The 17,363-nt window shown below is 63.1% G+C and overlaps 2 protein-coding genes, 1 long non-coding RNA gene and 1 other non-coding gene across 23 annotated transcripts in view, besides 7 other annotated features; 1 reads left to right on the forward strand and 3 right to left on the reverse strand.

Moving 5' to 3' along the window:
* The window catches only part of SCRIB (scribble planar cell polarity protein), a 24,849-nt gene extending 21,223 nt beyond the window's left edge, over positions 1-3,626 (reverse strand). For both annotated transcript variants that reach the window (NM_015356.5, NM_182706.5), the window contains exons 1-9: positions 3,067-3,626; positions 1,854-1,971; positions 1,671-1,749; positions 1,490-1,579; positions 1,323-1,379; positions 1,164-1,227; positions 883-957; positions 670-814; positions 119-237 (exon numbers count right to left, since the gene is read on the reverse strand). In NM_015356.5, coding sequence (NP_056171.3) covers positions 119-237; positions 670-814; positions 883-957; positions 1,164-1,227; positions 1,323-1,379; positions 1,490-1,579; positions 1,671-1,749; positions 1,854-1,971; positions 3,067-3,225 — 906 coding nt within the window. In that variant the 5' untranslated portion in view covers positions 3,226-3,626. The remainder of the gene's footprint in view (positions 1-118; positions 238-669; positions 815-882; positions 958-1,163; positions 1,228-1,322; positions 1,380-1,489; positions 1,580-1,670; positions 1,750-1,853; positions 1,972-3,066) is intronic.
* MIR937 (microRNA 937) lies at positions 810-895 on the reverse strand. Its single transcript, NR_030633.1, has one exon. It is a non-coding gene; the product is annotated as a microRNA 937 (primary transcript).
* Positions 2,004-2,668: an enhancer, noted in NCBI's record as "H3K4me1 hESC enhancer chr8:144896321-144896985 (GRCh37/hg19 assembly coordinates)". NCBI's record gives its function as "activates a minimal SCP1, AML or CMV promoter by ChIP-STARR-seq in naive H9 embryonic stem cells {active_cell/tissue: H9 hESC(naive)}" and the evidence as "EXISTENCE:reporter gene assay evidence [ECO:0000049][PMID:30033119]".
* Positions 2,953-3,585: an enhancer, noted in NCBI's record as "H3K27ac hESC enhancer chr8:144897270-144897902 (GRCh37/hg19 assembly coordinates)". NCBI's record gives its function as "activates a minimal SCP1, AML or CMV promoter by ChIP-STARR-seq in primed H9 embryonic stem cells {active_cell/tissue: H9 hESC(primed)}" and the evidence as "EXISTENCE:reporter gene assay evidence [ECO:0000049][PMID:30033119]".
* Positions 3,586-4,218: an enhancer, noted in NCBI's record as "H3K27ac hESC enhancer chr8:144897903-144898535 (GRCh37/hg19 assembly coordinates)". NCBI's record gives its function as "activates a minimal SCP1, AML or CMV promoter by ChIP-STARR-seq in primed H9 embryonic stem cells {active_cell/tissue: H9 hESC(primed)}" and the evidence as "EXISTENCE:reporter gene assay evidence [ECO:0000049][PMID:30033119]".
* On the reverse strand, positions 4,197-17,168 carry PUF60 (poly(U) binding splicing factor 60). Of its 19 annotated transcripts, none has more exons than XM_047421578.1 (13): positions 16,757-17,168; positions 15,238-15,389; positions 12,166-12,252; positions 9,671-9,766; positions 9,450-9,539; positions 8,519-8,569; positions 6,226-6,387; positions 6,046-6,138; positions 5,715-5,928; positions 5,445-5,635; positions 5,184-5,319; positions 4,763-4,998; positions 4,197-4,672 (listed from the first exon to the last, which is right to left on the reverse strand). In XM_047421578.1, exons 2-13 carry the CDS (start codon positions 15,370-15,372, stop codon positions 4,373-4,375), a joined length of 1,791 nt encoding a protein of 596 aa, XP_047277534.1. In that variant the 5' UTR covers positions 15,373-15,389; positions 16,757-17,168; the 3' UTR covers positions 4,197-4,372. The 19 variants fall into 19 exon arrangements, with proteins under 19 accessions (XP_047277534.1, XP_047277536.1, NP_001349824.1 ...); XM_047421580.1 differs by having other exon boundaries at positions 12,166-12,249; positions 16,837-16,894; NM_001362895.2 differs by having other exon boundaries at positions 16,837-16,894.
* Positions 16,886-17,363: part of a biological region, named in NCBI's record as "MED14-independent group 3 enhancer GRCh37_chr8:144911577-144912776", that runs on past the window's edge.
* Positions 16,886-17,363: part of a silencer, noted in NCBI's record as "silent region_19624", that runs on past the window's edge. NCBI's record gives its function as "represses an Ori minimal core promoter by ATAC-STARR-seq in GM12878 lymphoblastoid cells {active_cell/tissue: GM12878}" and the evidence as "EXISTENCE:reporter gene assay evidence [ECO:0000049][PMID:35858748]".
* The window catches only part of LOC107986985 (uncharacterized), a 2,652-nt gene continuing 2,421 nt past the window's right edge, over positions 17,133-17,363 (forward strand). Inside the window, exon 1 of the long non-coding RNA XR_001746138.2 lies at positions 17,133-17,257. This is a non-coding gene — a long non-coding RNA (uncharacterized LOC107986985). The remainder of the gene's footprint in view (positions 17,258-17,363) is intronic.
* Positions 17,240-17,363: part of an enhancer, noted in NCBI's record as "H3K27ac-H3K4me1 hESC enhancer chr8:144911557-144912256 (GRCh37/hg19 assembly coordinates)", that runs on past the window's edge. NCBI's record gives its function as "activates a minimal SCP1, AML or CMV promoter by ChIP-STARR-seq in primed H9 embryonic stem cells {active_cell/tissue: H9 hESC(primed)}" and the evidence as "EXISTENCE:reporter gene assay evidence [ECO:0000049][PMID:30033119]".
* Positions 17,260-17,363: part of an enhancer, noted in NCBI's record as "MED14-independent group 3 enhancer chr8:144911577-144912776 (GRCh37/hg19 assembly coordinates)", that runs on past the window's edge. NCBI's record gives its function as "activates an origin of replication core promoter dependent on BRD2, BRD4, P300/CBP and CDK7 cofactors, and independent of MED14, by STARR-seq in HCT116 cells {active_cell/tissue: HCT116}" and the evidence as "EXISTENCE:reporter gene assay evidence [ECO:0000049][PMID:35650434]".

Genomic DNA, 17,363 nt, shown 5'->3' on the forward strand with positions numbered 1-17,363 from the left:
AGTGGCTCCACGTCAGGCTGCCACCAGCACCCCCCAGCAGCAGACACAGGCTGATGCCCTGTCCTTGTTCTGCACCCCCGACGGCCCCATCCTTTCTGCCTCCCAAGCCAGACCCTACCATCAGCAGGTTCTCCGTGAGGATCAGCTCAGAGAGGTTCTCACAGTCCCCGATGGCCTCGGTCACCTCGCACAGCCGATTCTGGTCTACCTTTAGGATGGATAGCTGCTTCAGCTGACCTGGCGTCGGGGAGACAGGGGGACAAGGCTGAGCATGGTCCCCAGACGTGCCTTACCCACCTGGCCAGAAGCGCCCTCAAGGCAGACAGCAAGGCCCCCAGCCCCTTCTGCCGCCGCCGTACTTCGGGAGGACCCTACCTACCTTGCCCCACAAGCCTGACCCAACCTCCTTCAAGAAAACACCAGGCCCCAGTGGCACTGCCACCCTTCCGCCCTCACAGACTCCACCGCCCCCTCCAGCACCACCAGCTGCCTCCTCAGCCTTCTGGGCTGCCCCAGGGTCCCACCTCCCCTCCCCAGGGACAGCTCCCAGAGCCTGGGCACACTCAGGATCCTCCCCTGTGTTCCACACCACACACAGCCCCGACGCCCCACGCTCCTCCCAGGGCCAGGCTCCGTGTGCCCCACCCAGGCACCCCCAGGCACACTAACCGATGCCGTCGGGCAGCCTCCGCAGCAGGTTCTGGGACAGCAGCAGGTCAGTGAGCAGCACCAGCCCGCCGAGCTCAGCAGGCAGCTCCTCCAGCCGGTTTTCCGACACGTCCAGGCACACCAGGCGCCGCAGGTTCCCGAGCTCCTGCAGGTGGGCAGAGAGTCAGAGCGCGGATGGGCACGAAGCAGGGGGCCAGCCCCACCCTGACTCACCGGGGGCAGTGCTGACAGCTGGTTCCGGTCAAGCCACAGCTCCCGAAGATTGGGCAGAGCCCCCAGAGTGTCTGGCTGCAAGAAGGAACAGAGAAAATAGTGACTATGAGGCAAAGCCTCCTGCTGCGCCGTGCTCAAGAGACTATACGCCCCCACACCCAGCTCCCACCCGCCTGCCCTCCCGAGGTGCCCCTTGCTGTCGGATCTGCTCGCTGTCCCCTTCTTTGCCCTTGCTTCCGTGGCCCGCCCTCCGGTCTCTGCCCTGTCAGGCCTCCACGCACCAGCACTTCCAGATCGTTGCCTCCCAGATCCAGCTGTTCCAGCTTGACCAGAAATGACAGGGACCTGCAGAGGAAGCAGGGTGGAGGTGTGGCCACGCAGCCCTGGTCCCTGGGCTGTGGCCCTGCCCTGGCTGTTAGGAGAATGCCTGTCACACTCACGCTGGCAGGGACTTGAGCAGGTTCTCCCGGAGCTCCAGGGTCACCAGGTTGGCGAGGCTGAAAGAGAGACCAGGCGCTGGGGCAAGAGGAAGGAAAGCAGTGGCAGCAGGGGCAGGGCCAATCCTGGTCCCCCACCCCACCCTAGTTCCACCTGAGAAGGCACTCACTTGCCCACGTCCCCGGGCAGTGCCTGCAGAGACACATCATTCAGGGCCAGGTGAGCCAGGCTGCGCAGCTGAGTGAAGCCATCAGGGAGCCTGGATGGGAGGAAGCAGAGGCCCTCGGATGACCAGTCCAGGGCTGTGGGACCCATAGCCCCTACCGACCCCACCACAGGCTGCCACCCACCTGGAGAGGGGGTTCCCGCTGAAGTCCGCGATCTCCAGAGCCTTGCAGAACTTGATGCTCTCCGGGATCTCAGGGATATCTGTCACAGAGGGTCACAGTGGACAGATGCCATGGCCTGCAGGCCGTCTGCAGCCCCAGCGGACACTCCCCAGACCCCACCCAGCCCCTGCCCAGGCTCCCCACCGTTCCGGGACACGTCCAGCTCCACCAGCTGCATGAAGTTGGCCACCTCGGGAGGCAACCGCTGGATCTCGTTGTCGCTCAGGCCCAGCTTGCGCAAGTTCAGCAGCCGGAAAAAAGGCTGTGGGCAGGGAGGACACGGACTCTGTGGCAGAGACCACTGCAGAGCAGAGAAGAGCTCCTGGACACGTGAGTGTCACAAGTCAAGAGTCCCTAGGCCTCTGTCTGCTCCAGGTCACACCGGGTCCTGGGGTCTAACCACGACACCCCATTTGCAAAAAAAGGAAAGAAACACACGGTACACACGCCCACTGTGGCTGCCTCCCTCTACTCTTCACACCAGCCTCCACTCTGAGAAGACACCTGCTGGCGACCAGACAAAGCCCCAATCCCCTACCCTGTGTCTTACCTCAGGGCCCACCCAGCCCCTGAACCACTTCTGCCACCCTCCAGGGGCCCACACTGGCCTCTGCTACTGCATCCTGACAACAAGCCTGGCCTGGTTCTGCAGCAAGAACTCAGTAAACGCTCCCCACAATAACACAGTACCACAGGCACAGTGCTACGCGCGAGGCCTGCAGGTGGCCACAGAGGACCGAGCTGTCACTGCCACGGCCAGAACAGGGTCACATTCTTTGGGACACCCAACCCCTAGGTACTGATCACCCAGCACCCCATCTCCAGAAAAGAAATACTTTTTAATCTGCTTTCTCCAGCCTCCTTTCTTGTAGCAGCCTTAGGAGAGCACCTGACCACGAGAAGCAAGGGTAAAGAAAGGGGGACAGCGAACAGATCCGAGAGCAAAGAGTACATCAAGAGGGCTCCCCCACTCACCCCTGCACCCAGCAAAAAAGGAGAGGAGGTCTGGACCCACCTCCAGAGCGGCCCAAGAAGCTAGTACTCATCAGCCACCTGAATCCAAGTTCCACCCTAACCCCATCCACCTCCCTGAATCCCCACGGGTTTCACTCTGAGGCTCCGCCTCCAGGCTCGGTGACAATCGCTATCCCCAGGCAAGCACCTGATGACCGCTGCCACCTGCGCCAGCCAGGGCGGCTGGAAGAGAAGGGTGGGGCTGGCTGGGGTGGGGACCTGGCCAGTGCAAACCAGCAGGGCCGGCTGGAGGCTGCGGTGACTCGCCCGGGCAGATTCTGCCGCCGGAGGAATCACGGGCTGGGGGCGCGCCTTTGGGCGGCAGGTGCGGGCGGCCGCTCACCTTGGGCAGCTCGCGCAGCTGGTTGGCGTCGAGCAGCAGCTCCTCCAGGCTGCGGCTGTAGCGGTAGATCTCCTCCGGCACGGCCTGCAGCGAACAGTGCCGCTTGTCCACCGACTCCACGTGCCGGTTGCAGCGCCACAGCGGGATGCACTTGAGCATGGTGCGGGTGGGCGGCGCGGGCTCCGGCGGCGGCGCTCGGCGGGCTCGGGGCCGGGGGGCGGGGCTCAGTCCGCATGGGCGCCGCGCATGGGGAGGGGGCGCAGGCAGGGGGCGGGCCGCCCGAGACTGGACGGGGACGCGGCCGCGGCCGGCGCTGGGCCCGGCCCGCGCTCGGAACGCTCGGACTGCGGGCCTGGGCAGGGGGCGCGGCCCGGCGGGTCTCAGACTCTTAGGAAGCGCGGGGAGCGGCGGCGGCGGCGGCTCCGCATCCCGCTTGGTCCTGCTCAGCTCGTCCCGCCCGCTCGTCCGCCCGCTGTGCCGCACCGGAACCGCCGCTGCCCGCCGGACTGCCCCGCCGACACCCACCCGGCCGCCGCGCAGCCCGTCGGGAAGCCGAGTCCGGCCCTCGCCGCCTAGCACGCCCGGACTGCGGCCCCCAGAAGGCCCCGCGCGCCGCCGCCTCTGAGGACCCGTAGCGGCACCGCGCAAAGCGTGCCGGGAAGCCGGGCCCGCCCCGCGCGCGGGATATTGGGAGCTACAATCCACGAGAGGCGGCGCCCTCCGCCCTCCGGTCTTCAGCCCGGCCCCTGGCCCCGCGGCATTTGGCCACGAATCTTAACGCACAGCCTCCTCCCGGGAAGCGACCATGCCCGCCCGCCCGCCTTGGACGGCCGGCTCTGCGGCACAAAAGCACTGGCAGCGCGCGCTGTCCAGCGGGTCGCGGTGTCCCGGTGCCCAGCCTTCTCTCAGCACCACCCTGCGGGGACGGCTGCGAGCCCGCGCGCGAGAGCCTGGCGCCCCAGGCAGCCCCGCCCACCCAGCCGCCGCCACCCGCGGGACGGGGCCCGGGGCGCCAACCCCCTGCCCAGGTCTCGCCCACGGCAGGCCCCTCCTGCCAACAGGAAGCAGGTCCAGAGACCCCCCCAACCCTGCCTCCTCGCCCTAGACCCCCTAAGGACACACGCCCAGGATCGGTGACAGGACCGACGGCAGACACACGGACGTTCAGGGCCAGCAGCATCCGCACCTTTATCCGCACTGTAGGCTGGGCTGGGCAGAGCGCGCCTGGCCCCGGGGACACCACTGTATCACTATAAAACCCAGAGGAAACAAGGAACAAGTGCAAGTCCGGGGAGAGGGACCACTGTCACGCAGAGAGGTCACTGTTATCAAAACGCTCCTGGTCGTACACTTCAGCCACCACCTTGCGGCCAGCAAACCAGCGGCCATTGAGGGCCTGGATGGCCTTATGAGTCTCAGAGGCTATGGAAAACTCCACAAAGATCTTGACAATGATTTCTGCATCCTCCTCCTCGCCTTGTTTCTCTTGGTAGATGATGACGCGGTTCACGGCCCCGAACTTGCCACACTCCTCTGTCACCTCCCCTTCCAGGTCATCATCGATGTCCTTGGGGTCCACCATGTTGCGCAGAACCATCACTGTAGACTGTGGGGCAGGGCCGAGGGGAAGACAGCTGAGCACTGCGGCCCCGCCCCCCTACCCTCTCCCCCGCCACCACCCTGCCCCTCTGCCTACCTCCTGCTTGCGGAGCAGCTTCTGCATCACCATGTGTCGGGCGCTACTGCCCGAGATGCTCATGTGCTCCTGCTCGCTCAGCATCTCTGGCCGCTCTGACTCGGGAAACAGCTCCTCTTCTTCCTTCTCCTTCTTGGGCTCCAGGAGACCCAGCGTTGGAGGGCTGGCCAGGATGGGGTTCACCACTCCCACCGAGGGGATGGTGACCGGGATAGGAGGACGGGCTGGGGTCACACCTGCAGGAAAACCAACCAGGTCCATCAGTCACTCCCTACCACCCCCCTTCCCAGAAAGGCACAGAGCTGGCCTGCCCTGGGCTCAGAGGGTTGTGCCCAGACCACCAGGGCCAGGCAGCTGAGGGCAGCGAGCCGAGAGATGCCAGGACAGGAGAGGAGAGGATCTGGTACCACTTAAGACTCACCTGTGATGACTCCAGGTGCCTGGGCAGCCATGACAGCCTGGGGCAAAGTGCCCAGGGGCTGGGCCAGGGTCAGTGCTGGGGACACCAGTCCAGGTGTGCCCAGGGTACCCAGCACCGCTGCTCCGGCCACTGCTTCCTGCAACCCAAAAGGTCACCGTGCTCAGTCCCTGGTCTGGCTACTCAAGACCACCTTGAATCAGTCTCCAAGGAATCAGGGGCCAGCCCGCCCACCCTCAAGCCGACAGCTGTGTGGGCCCTCACCTGAGCTGTGATCTTGGCAGTGGCTGCAGCAGCTGCCACAGCAGCGGCAGGTGGGAGGCCTCCAGGCGTGGCTGGTGTGAGTAGGGGCATGGGCGGTGTGACAGCCTTGCCCACCCGCAAGTACTGGCCACCCAGGTCAAAGAGGTTCATGGAAGACACAGCATCTTGGGACGACTGGGCCTTCTCGTACTCTGTGGGCAGGAGCAGCAGTGAGCAGGGCCAGCCCCAGCCTCAGGTGGCCCCCATCCCGCCTCAGCCACCCCAGCTCACCAATGAAGCCGTAGCCCTTGTGCTTGCCAGTTGTGGGGTCCCGGGCCAGTGTGCAGGACTTGATCTTGCCAAAGGCCTCAAACACGCTCTTGATGTCATCGTCTGAGAGGTCCTGGTGCACAGAGGCCACGTAGATGCGGTTGAAGGCCCGTGCCTCCTCAGCCAACTGGTCTATGATGGGCTGGGCCTGCCCTATGTTGCTGGGTCTGCCCACCTGGGGAAGAGGCGGTGAGATGGAAAGACCGGTCAACCCAGGCCCGGCCACAAAAGGCTTCCGTGGAGGGGCAGCCCTGCACGCCTGCGGGATCGAGGCCTTGGCTCCCTGCCTCACCTTGATGTTCCTGCCCCCCAGCATCACCGAGTTCATCTGCTCCAAGGCCAGCTGTGCAGCTTCGGGGACCTCATACTCCACGAAGGCAAAGCCCTAGACACAGGGACACACCTGTCAGGCTGCGCGAGCCCAGGGGTGGGGGCGAGCCCGAAGTGGCCGGGGCGGACCAAGCCTGCTGACCTTGTGCTTCATGGTGACGGAGTCCCAGGACATGTCGATGCTCTTGATGGGGCCAAAGGGGGCAAAGGCCTGGCGGATGGTGTCCTCCCCCAGCTCATAGTAGATAGAGCCCACGTAGACGCGGCACATGATGGCCAGCGCCCGCTGCCGCTGAGCCGCCATCTGCAGCAGGACAGAGGGGAGAGAACCGCTGGCTCGTCAGGGGCGGCAGGAAGCTGGGCAGCCCACTCCCCTCCTGGCCCACCCACCCAGCCCTGCTGTGGGGAGGGCTCCCCACATGACAGGGAGGTGCGGGCTCCATCCCTGCAGTCATAGTGTGGGGGTCGCAGGACCCCGCCACCCAAAGAAGGAAGGCCAGGCCCAGCGGCAGGACAGGACGCACCCCAGCCCGCCAAGGTCCCAGGCAGACTGCGGCAGCAAAGCCGACAGATGGTCAGGAGGCAGGGCTGTGCGCCCTCCCACCCAGACCACCCCTCCAGTCTGGGGGCTGGGTATCCCAGGCTGGGCTGGGAGATCCTCCCACTGTCCCAGCCAAGGACCACGACAGAAGAGGGAAGGAGGAACCATCCAAGCTGGAGGGACCCACTGGTTTGGTGGCCAGAAGAGAGGAGGTCAGAAGACAGGGCAGCCACTGCCCAGAAGAGACCCCAGGGGAGGAGCTCAGGAGCCAGATGGGGGCTCCCTGAAGAGAGAACGAGGAGCAGCTGCTCATGCTGGGCCAACTCAGGTGGGGGCTCATGCTGTGCCTTCCCAGTGCCCTGCAACTCCTCACAAAGGAGCTGCCTGGAGCCTGTGCCCCCAGCCGAGAGAGCGGGCCCAGGCGAGACCACTGGCCTGGCCCCCGGGGGCACCATGAGGTAGCAGAGACCCTACGAGAAGCCCCCAGGCTCCTTAGAGCTGGTGACAGGCCTGGCCGGTCCAGGGCCTTGGCTGTGAGCTTGGCTATTGCGCTGAGGGACCTCCCCACACCCTCAGGGACGGGTTCTCGCCCCTGTCACCTCACAGGAGGCATGCCAGACAGGGGACTTCCAGAGCCACACGCAGTGGGCCACAGGGAGCCTGTGGGCCAGGGCAGGCAAAGCAGACAGCTGGAGCCAGGCCCTGCCCCTCTCCACAAAAGGCCTTGTGGCCAGAGACCAGTTTCCCTCTTTAGACATCAGCTGGCCTAATGCAGGCCGAACCTCCCCATCCCGTGGAGAGGGGCCTGGAAGCATCTCTCCACATCAAGGGACTTCCCAAGGTGAGATATCTTCCTTCAAACCAGGCATTCCCTGAAAACGAGACTGTGTTCTCCTCACACTGGGCCCCCTGACAGACCTCAGGCTCCCCACTCAGAGCAAGACCCCCCCAAAGGTGGAATCACATCCCCCTCACTCAGCAGGCTCCCCAGACACGAGACCAGGCCTGTCCCTCAGGTCATGGTTCCCCCAAGACAGGGCCATGTCTCCTTTTCAGTGTGGGGCCCCACCCCCAGGCAGGCCAAGAGCTCTCTCCCTGACCAGACCCCCAGCCCGGGCTCCCATTCAGATGCTTCCCAGAGAGAACAAGGCGTGTGTTGCCCCATGGGAGCCACACACAGGGATGACCCCTCTGAACAGAGGCTCCCAGAGAAGGGTCCACATCTTCCCCTCAGGATCCCCGAGATGGGACCTGGCCTCCTCCTGAGCCTGCCTCTGGGGGAAGGGAGGGACACCTCCTTCCCACACTCCTCTGCCCACCACAGCCAAGGCCATAGCCATGGCCCCTGCCTCCTCCGCCCTGGCTGCGTGGCCTCTGCCCCTTGCTGACAGCCAGGCACAAGGCCCTGCTTGCCCTTCCCTTGCTCGCTTGGGTCCCCCCACCCCCACCCCATCCAACCATCCTCCCTCCAGGGTCTGATGGGGCCATGAGTTAGGACCCCTCTCTCCTCAGGGGCCTGACCCCAACCCAAGAGCCAGGCAGCCTGGAGACTGACGGGGCTGGAGGCCGTGGGCACACCCCGTGCGTGCAGGTGGCGTGGGCGCAGACGGGCCTGGTGCTGGCAGCTACCCGCCCTGGCCGGCTGCCCTCCGCAGTTACCTGGCCGATTAGTTTTAAGGTGGGCCCTCAGAGCAGATGGAGGCCTCCCCAGGGGCGGTCCCGGGTGGGTGCCCACACCACTGGCCCCACCACGCCTGGCGCTCTGCTGCGCTCGTCCAGAGCTGGCGGGCAGGGCCGGCCAGGGGAGCAAGGTCCCCAGCACGTGGGCTGCACTGCCCCCCTCTAGCCCTGACTAAGGACATGAGCCCCGGAAGAAGTGAGCATTTCTATTGACCGATTGCAAAGGTGAGAGAGGATCTCCAAAGCCCATTGTCACTGCTGCCATCTGAAAGACAGTAAAGACAGAGTTCAGTCTGTTGGAGCCGAGCAGTCTCCCGCTCTCGTCAACACCTCACGCAGACAGCGGCAAGGCCCGGAGTCCCCGCCCTGCCAGGGAGGCCGCCTGCCTTCCCACACTGCCGGCCGCCAGCACCTGCCCAGGGGGGCCGCAGCGCCCCATGTGCCCCGCCCTGCAGCCTTGCAGCTGGGCCGGCTGGGGCAGAAAGGAAGGGAGGGAGGAAGGGAGGGAGGGAGGAGGGCAGTGGAGCACAGTGAATGGCCAGGACATCTCCTGGTAGCGTGAATGTCTGAGGGCTGGGCGGGGGGGCGTGAGGCTCGAGGCCCAGGAACCTGTCGGCCTCACACCGGCCTCTTCCCACGAAGGTATCGCAGCCTCCGGCCACAGGCCTGGAGCAGGGCCCCAAGGGAGGTGCCTCCAGACTGTCCCCTCAGTCCTGGGGCTGAGCCCAGGTGGTCTGGACTCACTGCAGGGGTGAGGGCCTGAGCAGTCTTATCCAGGCCACGGGGGCAGGGAGGCCCACGCCCTGCATGCTGCCACCATCGGCTGTGCACAGCTGGGGCAGGGAGCACGGGAGAGACCAGAGGCCACAGTGTGAAGACCAGGAAGGGGAAAAGGGTAGAGCTGCAGCCAAGCAGCCAAGAAAGGGGCTGCGGCGCTTTAGGGGCTCCAGCGAGCAACAGGTGGGAAAGGCTGGGCCACTCGTGCCTCAGAGAGGACCCCGGGGGTCCCGAGCATGAGTCTTTGAGAATCGGAGCACTGTAACAGCTTGCGGGGACGGCCGCAGGCCCAGGAGGAGGAAGAGCGTGAAGAGGAGGAGATGGTGGCTGTGGTGGGGAGGGCGGTAGAGGCTCCGGCCGGGGCTCACCTGCAGGTTGGTGAGCTGCTGCTGCTGGTGCGCGATGGTCTGCTTCACCAGCACACTCTTGATGCTCTGCTCCATGGCGTACTTCTTGGCCTGAGAGAGGCGGCAGTGAGGAGCACTGGGGGCCCAGCCCATGGGAGACAGGCCTGCCCCGCACCCCGCCCCTGCCCCTGCCCCCAGTTGACTGTCCCACACCTGCAGTGCCCTGGGAGGTCCATGCTCACCTTCTGAAGGGCCTCCTGCTGCTCGGGCGTCAGGGGAGGCAGCCCCAGCTTGGCGGCTGTGCTCTGCCCGTTCTCCATCTTGATGGAGTCTGTGCCCTGGTAAGGGAGCAGGGGAATCCATCAGCAGCAAGCTCAAGTTCTCCTTCACGTGGCCCCAGGAGGGCCACCCCTAGCACAGACTGTCCCCTGCCTGGCCTGTACTCAGGCCAGCCCTTCTGACATTGCTGTCCCCAGCCCAGGCCACTGTCTCCCCCGGGACCCATGGGGTAGAACACAGACTGAGGCAGGCAGGTGCCCTGGAGGCCCTGGGCCAACCCGAGCAGTTGTGGGGCCCAGGCCACAGTGGCCTCCTCGGGAACCACCAAGATAAACAGCTGGAGGCAGAAAAGGGGTCCAGCCCCTTGTTGTCAGTCTGACCCCAGAGCTGCTATCACATGCCCGGCAGGAGAGCCAGCCTCAGCCGTCCTCCAAGGCAGGAGAAAAGGGCCACGGCTCTCTGGACGTTCTGGGACTCCTTGCTCCCAGGCTCCTCCAGGCTTCCTCACAGTCCCTGCCACAGACACAGGCTCAGCTTCCCTGGAGTTTCAAGGGGCCCACCCAAGGAGCTAATACAAGGGCCTCTCTCCCAACAGTGCTCCCCCCACCGTCCCCGCAGGCACTGTGCACACCTCCCAGAGAACACAGGCCTCTCTCGGGCCACACAAGCCCTGAAGAGGGCTCCAGCTCACTTCCACACACTCTTGCATGGGCTTTGCCTGGCCCACTGGGAGAAGCCAGGAGCAGACCCCACTGGCACCCTAGCCAGGTGGGCCTGGGGACCAAGAGGCCCTTGGGCAGTCACAGCCACTGCAGACCCAAGCTGATGCCAACCAGGATTATGTTTACGTCCCTCCTGTCAAAATCCATCTCTAAGCTTTTTGCAGAGGGAAGAACGCAGCTGTGTGAGCAGGGAGGCATGGCTAGCAGGCCCATCAGAGTGTGGGATGGGCAAACAGCATGCCTGCGCCTGTCCTCCAGCTCAGCAAGCACAAAGATCACTGGCCCACCAACCGGGCCCTCCGAGACTTCCAGACACAGCCTTGAGGGACAGCAGAGAAGAGAGAAGGGTCCCCAGCACAGAAGTGATGAGCAAGGACAGAGGGACACAGGAGGCAGGAAGGGACAGGCTGGCCCAAGCCCCAAGAACCCCCTCCTGCCTGCCAAGTGCTGGGATGCTGGCCCAGGCTCAAAGGGCAGGAAGCCCTGGAGACCCCTCCCCAGGCAACCAGAGCCCCAACCAGTCCCTGAAGGTCAAAGGCTGGCTGTGGGTGGCACCAGGTGCCCCAGTCCGGCTCACACCAGGCCTGTCCTAATCACCCTCAGCACCAGGTGCCCCAGTCCGGCTCACACTAGGCCTGTCTTCACCACCCTCAGCACCAGGTGCCCCAGTCCGGCTCACACTAGGCCTGTCCTCACCACCCTCAGCACCAGGTGCCCCAGTCCGGCTCACACTAGGCCTGTCCTCACCACCCTCACAGCTGGCCCCAAGCCCATTCCTCCTTAGTGGGAAAGAGGGCCCAAGAGCCAGAGGCTGGGACTTGAGAGCAGGCTGTCACCATGGTAATCAATGCCAACCCCCTCAGCCCCCAGACATTTTTCAATCTCCTCTTTGTCTTGGTAAACAAAAGGCCCTTCTCCCACCAACCAATGGCCGGCTGGGCGCCAGCCAAGGGCCAGGGAGCACCAGCCCCCACATCTCCCAGGATCCAAGCTGCATACCATGTCCCAGTCCCACCCCCTGAGTGTGCCTGGGGGACCAAGAGGAGGGCCCAGCCCCAAGAGGCTGCCAGGCCACCTTGCTGAGGCCCCACTGGAATGCTCTGGAGGCGGGCGCTACCATGGAGAAGCACAAAGAACCCAACTACCCAGCCACAGGCCCAGCTCCACCTCTGAGAGGACCTGCTCCCAAGGCTGGGCCATCGAACAGACCAAGACCCACCTGCACCCACTCTGGAGCCTGGGGCCGAAAAAAGATGGGGAGGGCTGAGTCCCAACCAGACCTGTGCTTTGACTTGCGCATTGCTTCACTGTTTTATTTAAATGAAAACACAGAGGTCTGAAATGAAATCTGTCCTTCTGGCTCCTCAAGCACTGCGAGTTCTGGGAAGCTTGGCCCACCCTTCCTGCAAGACGCTCATGCCTAAGAACGCGCGAGCTCCAGGCCCCGGCGTCCCCGCCCAGCCAGACTGTCAACAGGCCCCGCCTGGTGCTTGGAGCAGGGCAGATGCAGAGGGCAAAGGCCAGCTCAGTGCCTGGGTGGGGAGGGTGCAGGGCTGGTGCGGGGAGAGGGCCGTGGTCCTGCGGGCAGTTGTCTGCCCAGAGGCAGAGAAGGGTTCCCGAGGTTCCTCCCGCCCCGCCCCCAGCCAGCCCTCTCTGGGCCCAGGGACGCACAGGCAGGCGGGCGGGCGGGCGGGCAGGCGGGCGGGCCTGAGGGAGAGGATGCTTAAGGTCAGTACCTGTGGAGGTTTCCATTTGTCTCCCGCTGCCACCACTGCCGCCGCCGCCGCCGGCTCGGACCCCCCTCCTTGCTGGCCATTGACCTGCTGCAGGCAGGAAGGAGATGTTGTAACGACAGGCACACCACCCCACCGCCCAGGCCTGCTCTCCTCCCGAGCTAAGGGCTGAGCTCCTCACGGATAAGCAAGGGAGGCCAGGCAGGGAGGCATTCCCGACATGACCCCCCAGCCCAAACTGCCCTCTCTTCACACCCATCAGCACGCCCAGGGACCCAGTCAGAAGCAGAGCGGAGCATGGGCTGGGCCAGGGCTGCCAGCGAGTCCCAGCGGGGATGGGGAGGAGGGTAGAGAGAGCTGTGCTCCTGCCCCAGGCAAAAGAAAGCCATCCTCTCCTGCCGGCAGGCTGGACGGCCAAAGGAACCGGCTGGGTGTCCCCCATGCCCTCCTGAGGCAGCAGCGGTGCCTTCCTGGCAACCTGTACACACCTTGGCCAGCCCACAACTCAGCCCCAGCTCCAGTGCCTTCCACAGGCTCTGGCCCAGCCCAGGTCCCAGTTCTCTCCTGAAGACACTTTTAAGCAGCATGGTGGGCAGGGGTCTGGATGCGCAGGCCTCCCTTCCCTGGCAACAGAACCATCCAGAGCTGTCTCGCAGGAGGACGGCCAAGAGGTTAGCCCTCTGCACTCAGTAAGACCCACACCTAAGGGGGCACAGGAAGGAGGAGCAGCTCCACAATGGTCTTGAGGGATGGCAGGGCAAAGACAGGCCACGGGCAGGAAACGGGTAACGCTGTGGGGGTCGGGAGATGATGGAAGGGCCTTGAGACCTACTCTACCTTCTCAGAGGCTGCACAACGAGAAGCAAGGCAGCATGCAGTCACCCCACTCCCAGCTCAAGGATGAGACCCACAATATCTAAGAACAGAAGAGATCAGCGTGCCCACCCTTGGAGCCATGTGCGCAAAGCCAGAGGCTGGGCTGACCCACCAGAGTGTCCCAGGTCCTTCAGCCTCCAGAGGAGGAGCAGCACCACCAGCCCAGCTGCACTGGGGAAGGCCAACCCAGCCCGTGCCTGGAGCTGCTCCCAATGCTGTCGGCATGGGTGTGCTCTAGCTGCCCAACTCAGCCCCACGCTGCCTAAACACTGCACCCCGGAGAGAGTGAAAGGAAACAAGGGGCCCCTCCCACTGCATGCACAGCCAGAGCAGAGGCTGCCTCTTTTTTTTTTTTGAGACAGGGTCTGGCTCTGTTGCCCAGGCTAGAGTGCGGTGGTGCAACTACGGCTTACTGCAACCTCCGCCTCCTGGGACTCCAGGCATGCGCCGCCACACCTGGCTAATTTTTGTATTTTTGGTAGAGATGGGGGTCTCCGTGTTGCCCAAGCTGGTCTCAAACAATCCACCTATCTCAGCCTCCAAAGTGCTGGTACTACAGGCGTGGACCACTGTGCCCAGCCAAGGCTGCCTCTCATTGCCCACAGCAAGAGATCACTTCACGACCAGTCTCCAGATACCCGTGAACAGGGTGAACTGAGGGGCACTTTTGTAACTTCCTGCTCCCCCAAATCACTGCACTAACCAACAAGTAAGCCACAACAGTGTTGACAGTGGGATGTGGCTCGGAAAAACATTTTCTTGGGAAAAGCCGGCCCACTGGTGCATTCTACACAGGACACCCCATGCCATTCCTGGCAGATGGAAGTTCCCAGCTGCATGGAGCTTAGGGTTCTGTGCTAACCAGACGCTGGGAGAACTTGGAGGAAACCGGTGTTTACAATCGCAGCTAGTCACGTACTGCCATCTTTAGGCAATTAAAATGGCGTCTTTATGGTCAGGATGCCCCCAGCACCAGGCAGCAGTGCTTGGAGGGATGGGAAGCCCCTCTGAGGGGCGGCACAGCAGAGGGGCTCTGGGGTGCCAACTCTGGGACTGCCTTTCCTCAGCCCAGAGCAAAGAAGAGTATTTCCATCAGAAAACAAGAAAAGCAATGTAGGGGCTGGGCGTGGTGGCTCACACCTGTAACTCCAGCACTTTGGGAGACCGATGTAGCACTTAAGACCAGCCTGGACAACACAGCAAGACGCTGTCTCTATGAAAAAAAAGATTTTTTTAAAAAGTAATGTGGCCAGACGCAGTGGCTCACGCCTGTAATCCCAGCACTTTGGGAGGCCGAGGCAGGTGGATTGCTTGAGGTCAGGAGTTGGAGACCAGCCTGGCCAACATGGTGAAACCCCATCTCTACTAAAAATACAAAAATTAGCCGGGCATGGTGGCAAGCACCTGTAATCCCAGCTACTTGGGAGGCTGAGGTGCTACCATGAATTGCCTGAACCCAGGAGGCAGAGGTTGCAGTGAGCCGGGATCACCCCACTGCACTCTAGCCTGGGCGATAAAGCAAAACTCCGTCTCACACACAAAAAGAAAAAAAAAATAATGTGGAGCGAATGACTGAAGGTCCCAAGGTCTCAAGGCTTCAGGCTCCTCAGCTGGGAATGGGGACGGCCTGTCTCCTAGGGCTACTGTGAAGATTCAGTGAAATCCCAACACGCCCCCAACCCCACAACCTGCAGTCCCTGCACATGGAAAGCAGCAAAGCAAGCCACAGGTTCCAGCACTCATCAGTATTAACAACATCCAGTGTCAGATACCCAGGGCAGAGCTGGCTGCAGGACACTGCCTTCTATCTGTCAGTTCCCTTCACACAATGAACACTGCTTACTGCGTGCCCAGGCTCCACAGTGAGCGCTGCAGAGGCCGCAGACACGAGACAAGAGAGAAAGACGTCTCTCTCAGGAGCCTGGTGTCAGCTGCCAGCAAAGAATGCCAAAATCAAAGATGACTTCTGTGGTTTACCAGCACTACGAAGAAAGCACAGGATAAGAAAGGAGTGGCTATGAGCTATGCCAGGCCATGGCAGCCGGGGGCCTCTCTATGAGGTGACATTGCAGGCTGGGGCCTACAGAAGAAAGGAACTGGAACCCCAAGGGTGATGACCCCAAATGAGAGCTGGTCTGGCTGTCAGTGAAGAGAACGGAGCCATGCGTCAAAGTGAAAAGATGCATCCAGAAGACCTACCCTTGCTGCAAAGAGGCAGCCGGCCTCATTCTGCAGCCACCAGGCAGAAGGCATGCCCATGGGAGGGGAGGCCCTTCTGCATCTTCTGGCTTCCTTCCCCACCAGGCCACTGTCAGCCAAGTTCAGCTGCTCCATTCAACCTCCCATGAGAGCTGAAGCAGCATGAGACAGGGGACAGGCTCTCATCACTGTGCCCAACCAGGACGGTGGGAACAGATAACCCTTCTAGAAGCCTTTCCATCCCAATGATTAAAAGAGGAATGGGTTAGACCACAGGCTACAGCTCACTCCTGGAGCCGGATGCAAGCCTGAAACCTGACGATAAAAAAACACGTATTAAACCCAACAGAATTTGGATGGCAACAAACACCCCAACAGACAACCCGTTCGTGGGGTCAGTTATGGCCCACGTCCAACTCAACAATGACACCACCTATCTGGCACCACGCCACAGCAGACCTGAGCCCCCATTTAACCCTCATGAGCACAGGGCGCTGTTCTGCGGGTGCTAGGGGAGTCAGGCATCCACTCTCCTCCTCCACCTTCCCATGTCCAGTCCTTGTCTCTGAGCCTCCTCCTCCTTCACCATCAACTCTCTGACTGCTGCCTGAAGACAGTCACCAGGTCCTCAACCCTTACATCCTTTCTCTCTGGAGTGCCCCTCAAAGGTCACTTACTCCTGTGGCTTCAAGAGAAAGGACATAGTAGAAAGAGTGGAGTTAGCCAGTCCTGTGAATCACACACTGGGCTGCCCTCGCAAGCTGGGTATCTTGTGTAAATGCCTCTCTCCCCCTAGTAACTGGTTTCTGCCTCAGTGGGACATGGGACCAGCCCGCCCGCTGGGGGCCTGGCAATGGCAGTCTAAGGACACTCCCTGGTCCTGCCAGTCCAGCCTTCAGCCATTTGCCCAAGCTGTCTTCTCAAACAGACCTTATCCCATCCCGCTGGGTGTGGGCTGGGGGAAGGGTGACAAGTAATACAGGGGTAAACTGCGGCTGAGAAAGGTCCAAAAGGGGATTAGGTCCTATAAGCTAAGTGGTGAGAAGGAAAGACCAGACTTCATCGTGCATGTGTTGTGTGCATGGGTGTTCTCCCTCTACGTTAATAACGCCTGCCCTGCCCGGGGAAGTGGGCACTGAGCAGAGCAGGGGGCGACTCACTCCTCTGGATGCCCACGCAGCTCCCTAGGGCGCCCAGCAAATGGCACCCTGGGTGGGAACTGGCTTCTGGTGCGCACTAGACCTCCAACTGCCTGTCTGGTTCCCCACTGCGTCCCCAGATCCTCCCGCAGAGCTGGGGACAATGCGATTTCTCAAAACACGTAGGATGAGAGCGCACGTCCTTCCTTTCCACGTGGAGACAAGAGAATGGAGATAACCAGATCCCTCTCCAGCACCGGAGAACGAATTCACAGCTGCAGGCGTAGTGAGCCAAGGCCGCCCCATGCTCTGAGCTGCAGGCCCCTTTCTACAGGTCCCGTCCCCTTCTGATCCCATCAACCCGAAGGCCCACGCGTCACCCCCAGAACCCCGCTTCCGTCGTGACCACGGCGCACACCCCCGTCGGCAAAGGGAGGACGACGACCCCCGCTTGCCGGACCTAGCGGACAGGAACGCAACCCCGCCAGGCTCGCCCGCAAGGGCCACACGCCGCGCCCAGGCCCCCGCCCCGCCCCGCCGGAAGCTGGGGTCCGCAGGCCGGAAGCTGAGGCCGCGAGCCGGCCGCCGGCGCGCGCCCGCCCCGCCCCCGCCTCACGCGACCCGGGGACACGAGGGAGTCCGCGCGGGACCTGGGAAGACCGCCGCGTTCTTGGGAGGCCCTCCGCGCCCAGGCTGGGTCGACGACCCGGCCCCGCAAGCCGAGGGCCGCCCGCGCTCATGGGGGGGCTCACTTACGAGAGCTATGGTCGCCGTCGCCATCTTGCGTCCGTCGCGGCCTCCGCGCGCGCCTCCCACTCTTGCTCCTTCCGCTGTCTCGCGCGATCTGGGTGCCGGTGCACGGAACTCTCGCGAGGAAGGAGGTAAGAACGCGCTTCCGGGGCGGGGAGGAACGGTAAACGCCCCCGGGAGGGGCGACGGAAGGGGCGTGCTCTTGGCCGGGCGAGGGGCGTGGCCCGCGCACCTCGG

This window comes from Homo sapiens, chromosome 8 (genome assembly GCF_000001405.40).
Source record: "Homo sapiens chromosome 8, GRCh38.p14 Primary Assembly".
Lineage (NCBI taxonomy): Eukaryota > Metazoa > Chordata > Mammalia > Primates > Hominidae > Homo > Homo sapiens.

What these genes read in the sequence shown, in the direction of transcription:
- PUF60 (XM_047421578.1), bottom strand. Translation starts at nt 15,372, where the DNA reads ATGGAGCAGCTGAACTTGGCTGACAGTGGCCTGGTGGGGAAGGAAGCC. An exon ending in CTGCCAAGATCACAGCTCAG is followed by an intron (nt 5,320 to 5,444) that starts GTGAGGGCCCAC and finishes TTTGGGTTGCAG; the next exon opens with GAAGCAGTGGCCGGAGCAGC. An exon ending in GGCACCTGGAGTCATCACAG is followed by an intron (nt 4,999 to 5,183) that starts GTGAGTCTTAAG and finishes GTTTTCCTGCAG; the next exon opens with GTGTGACCCCAGCCCGTCCT.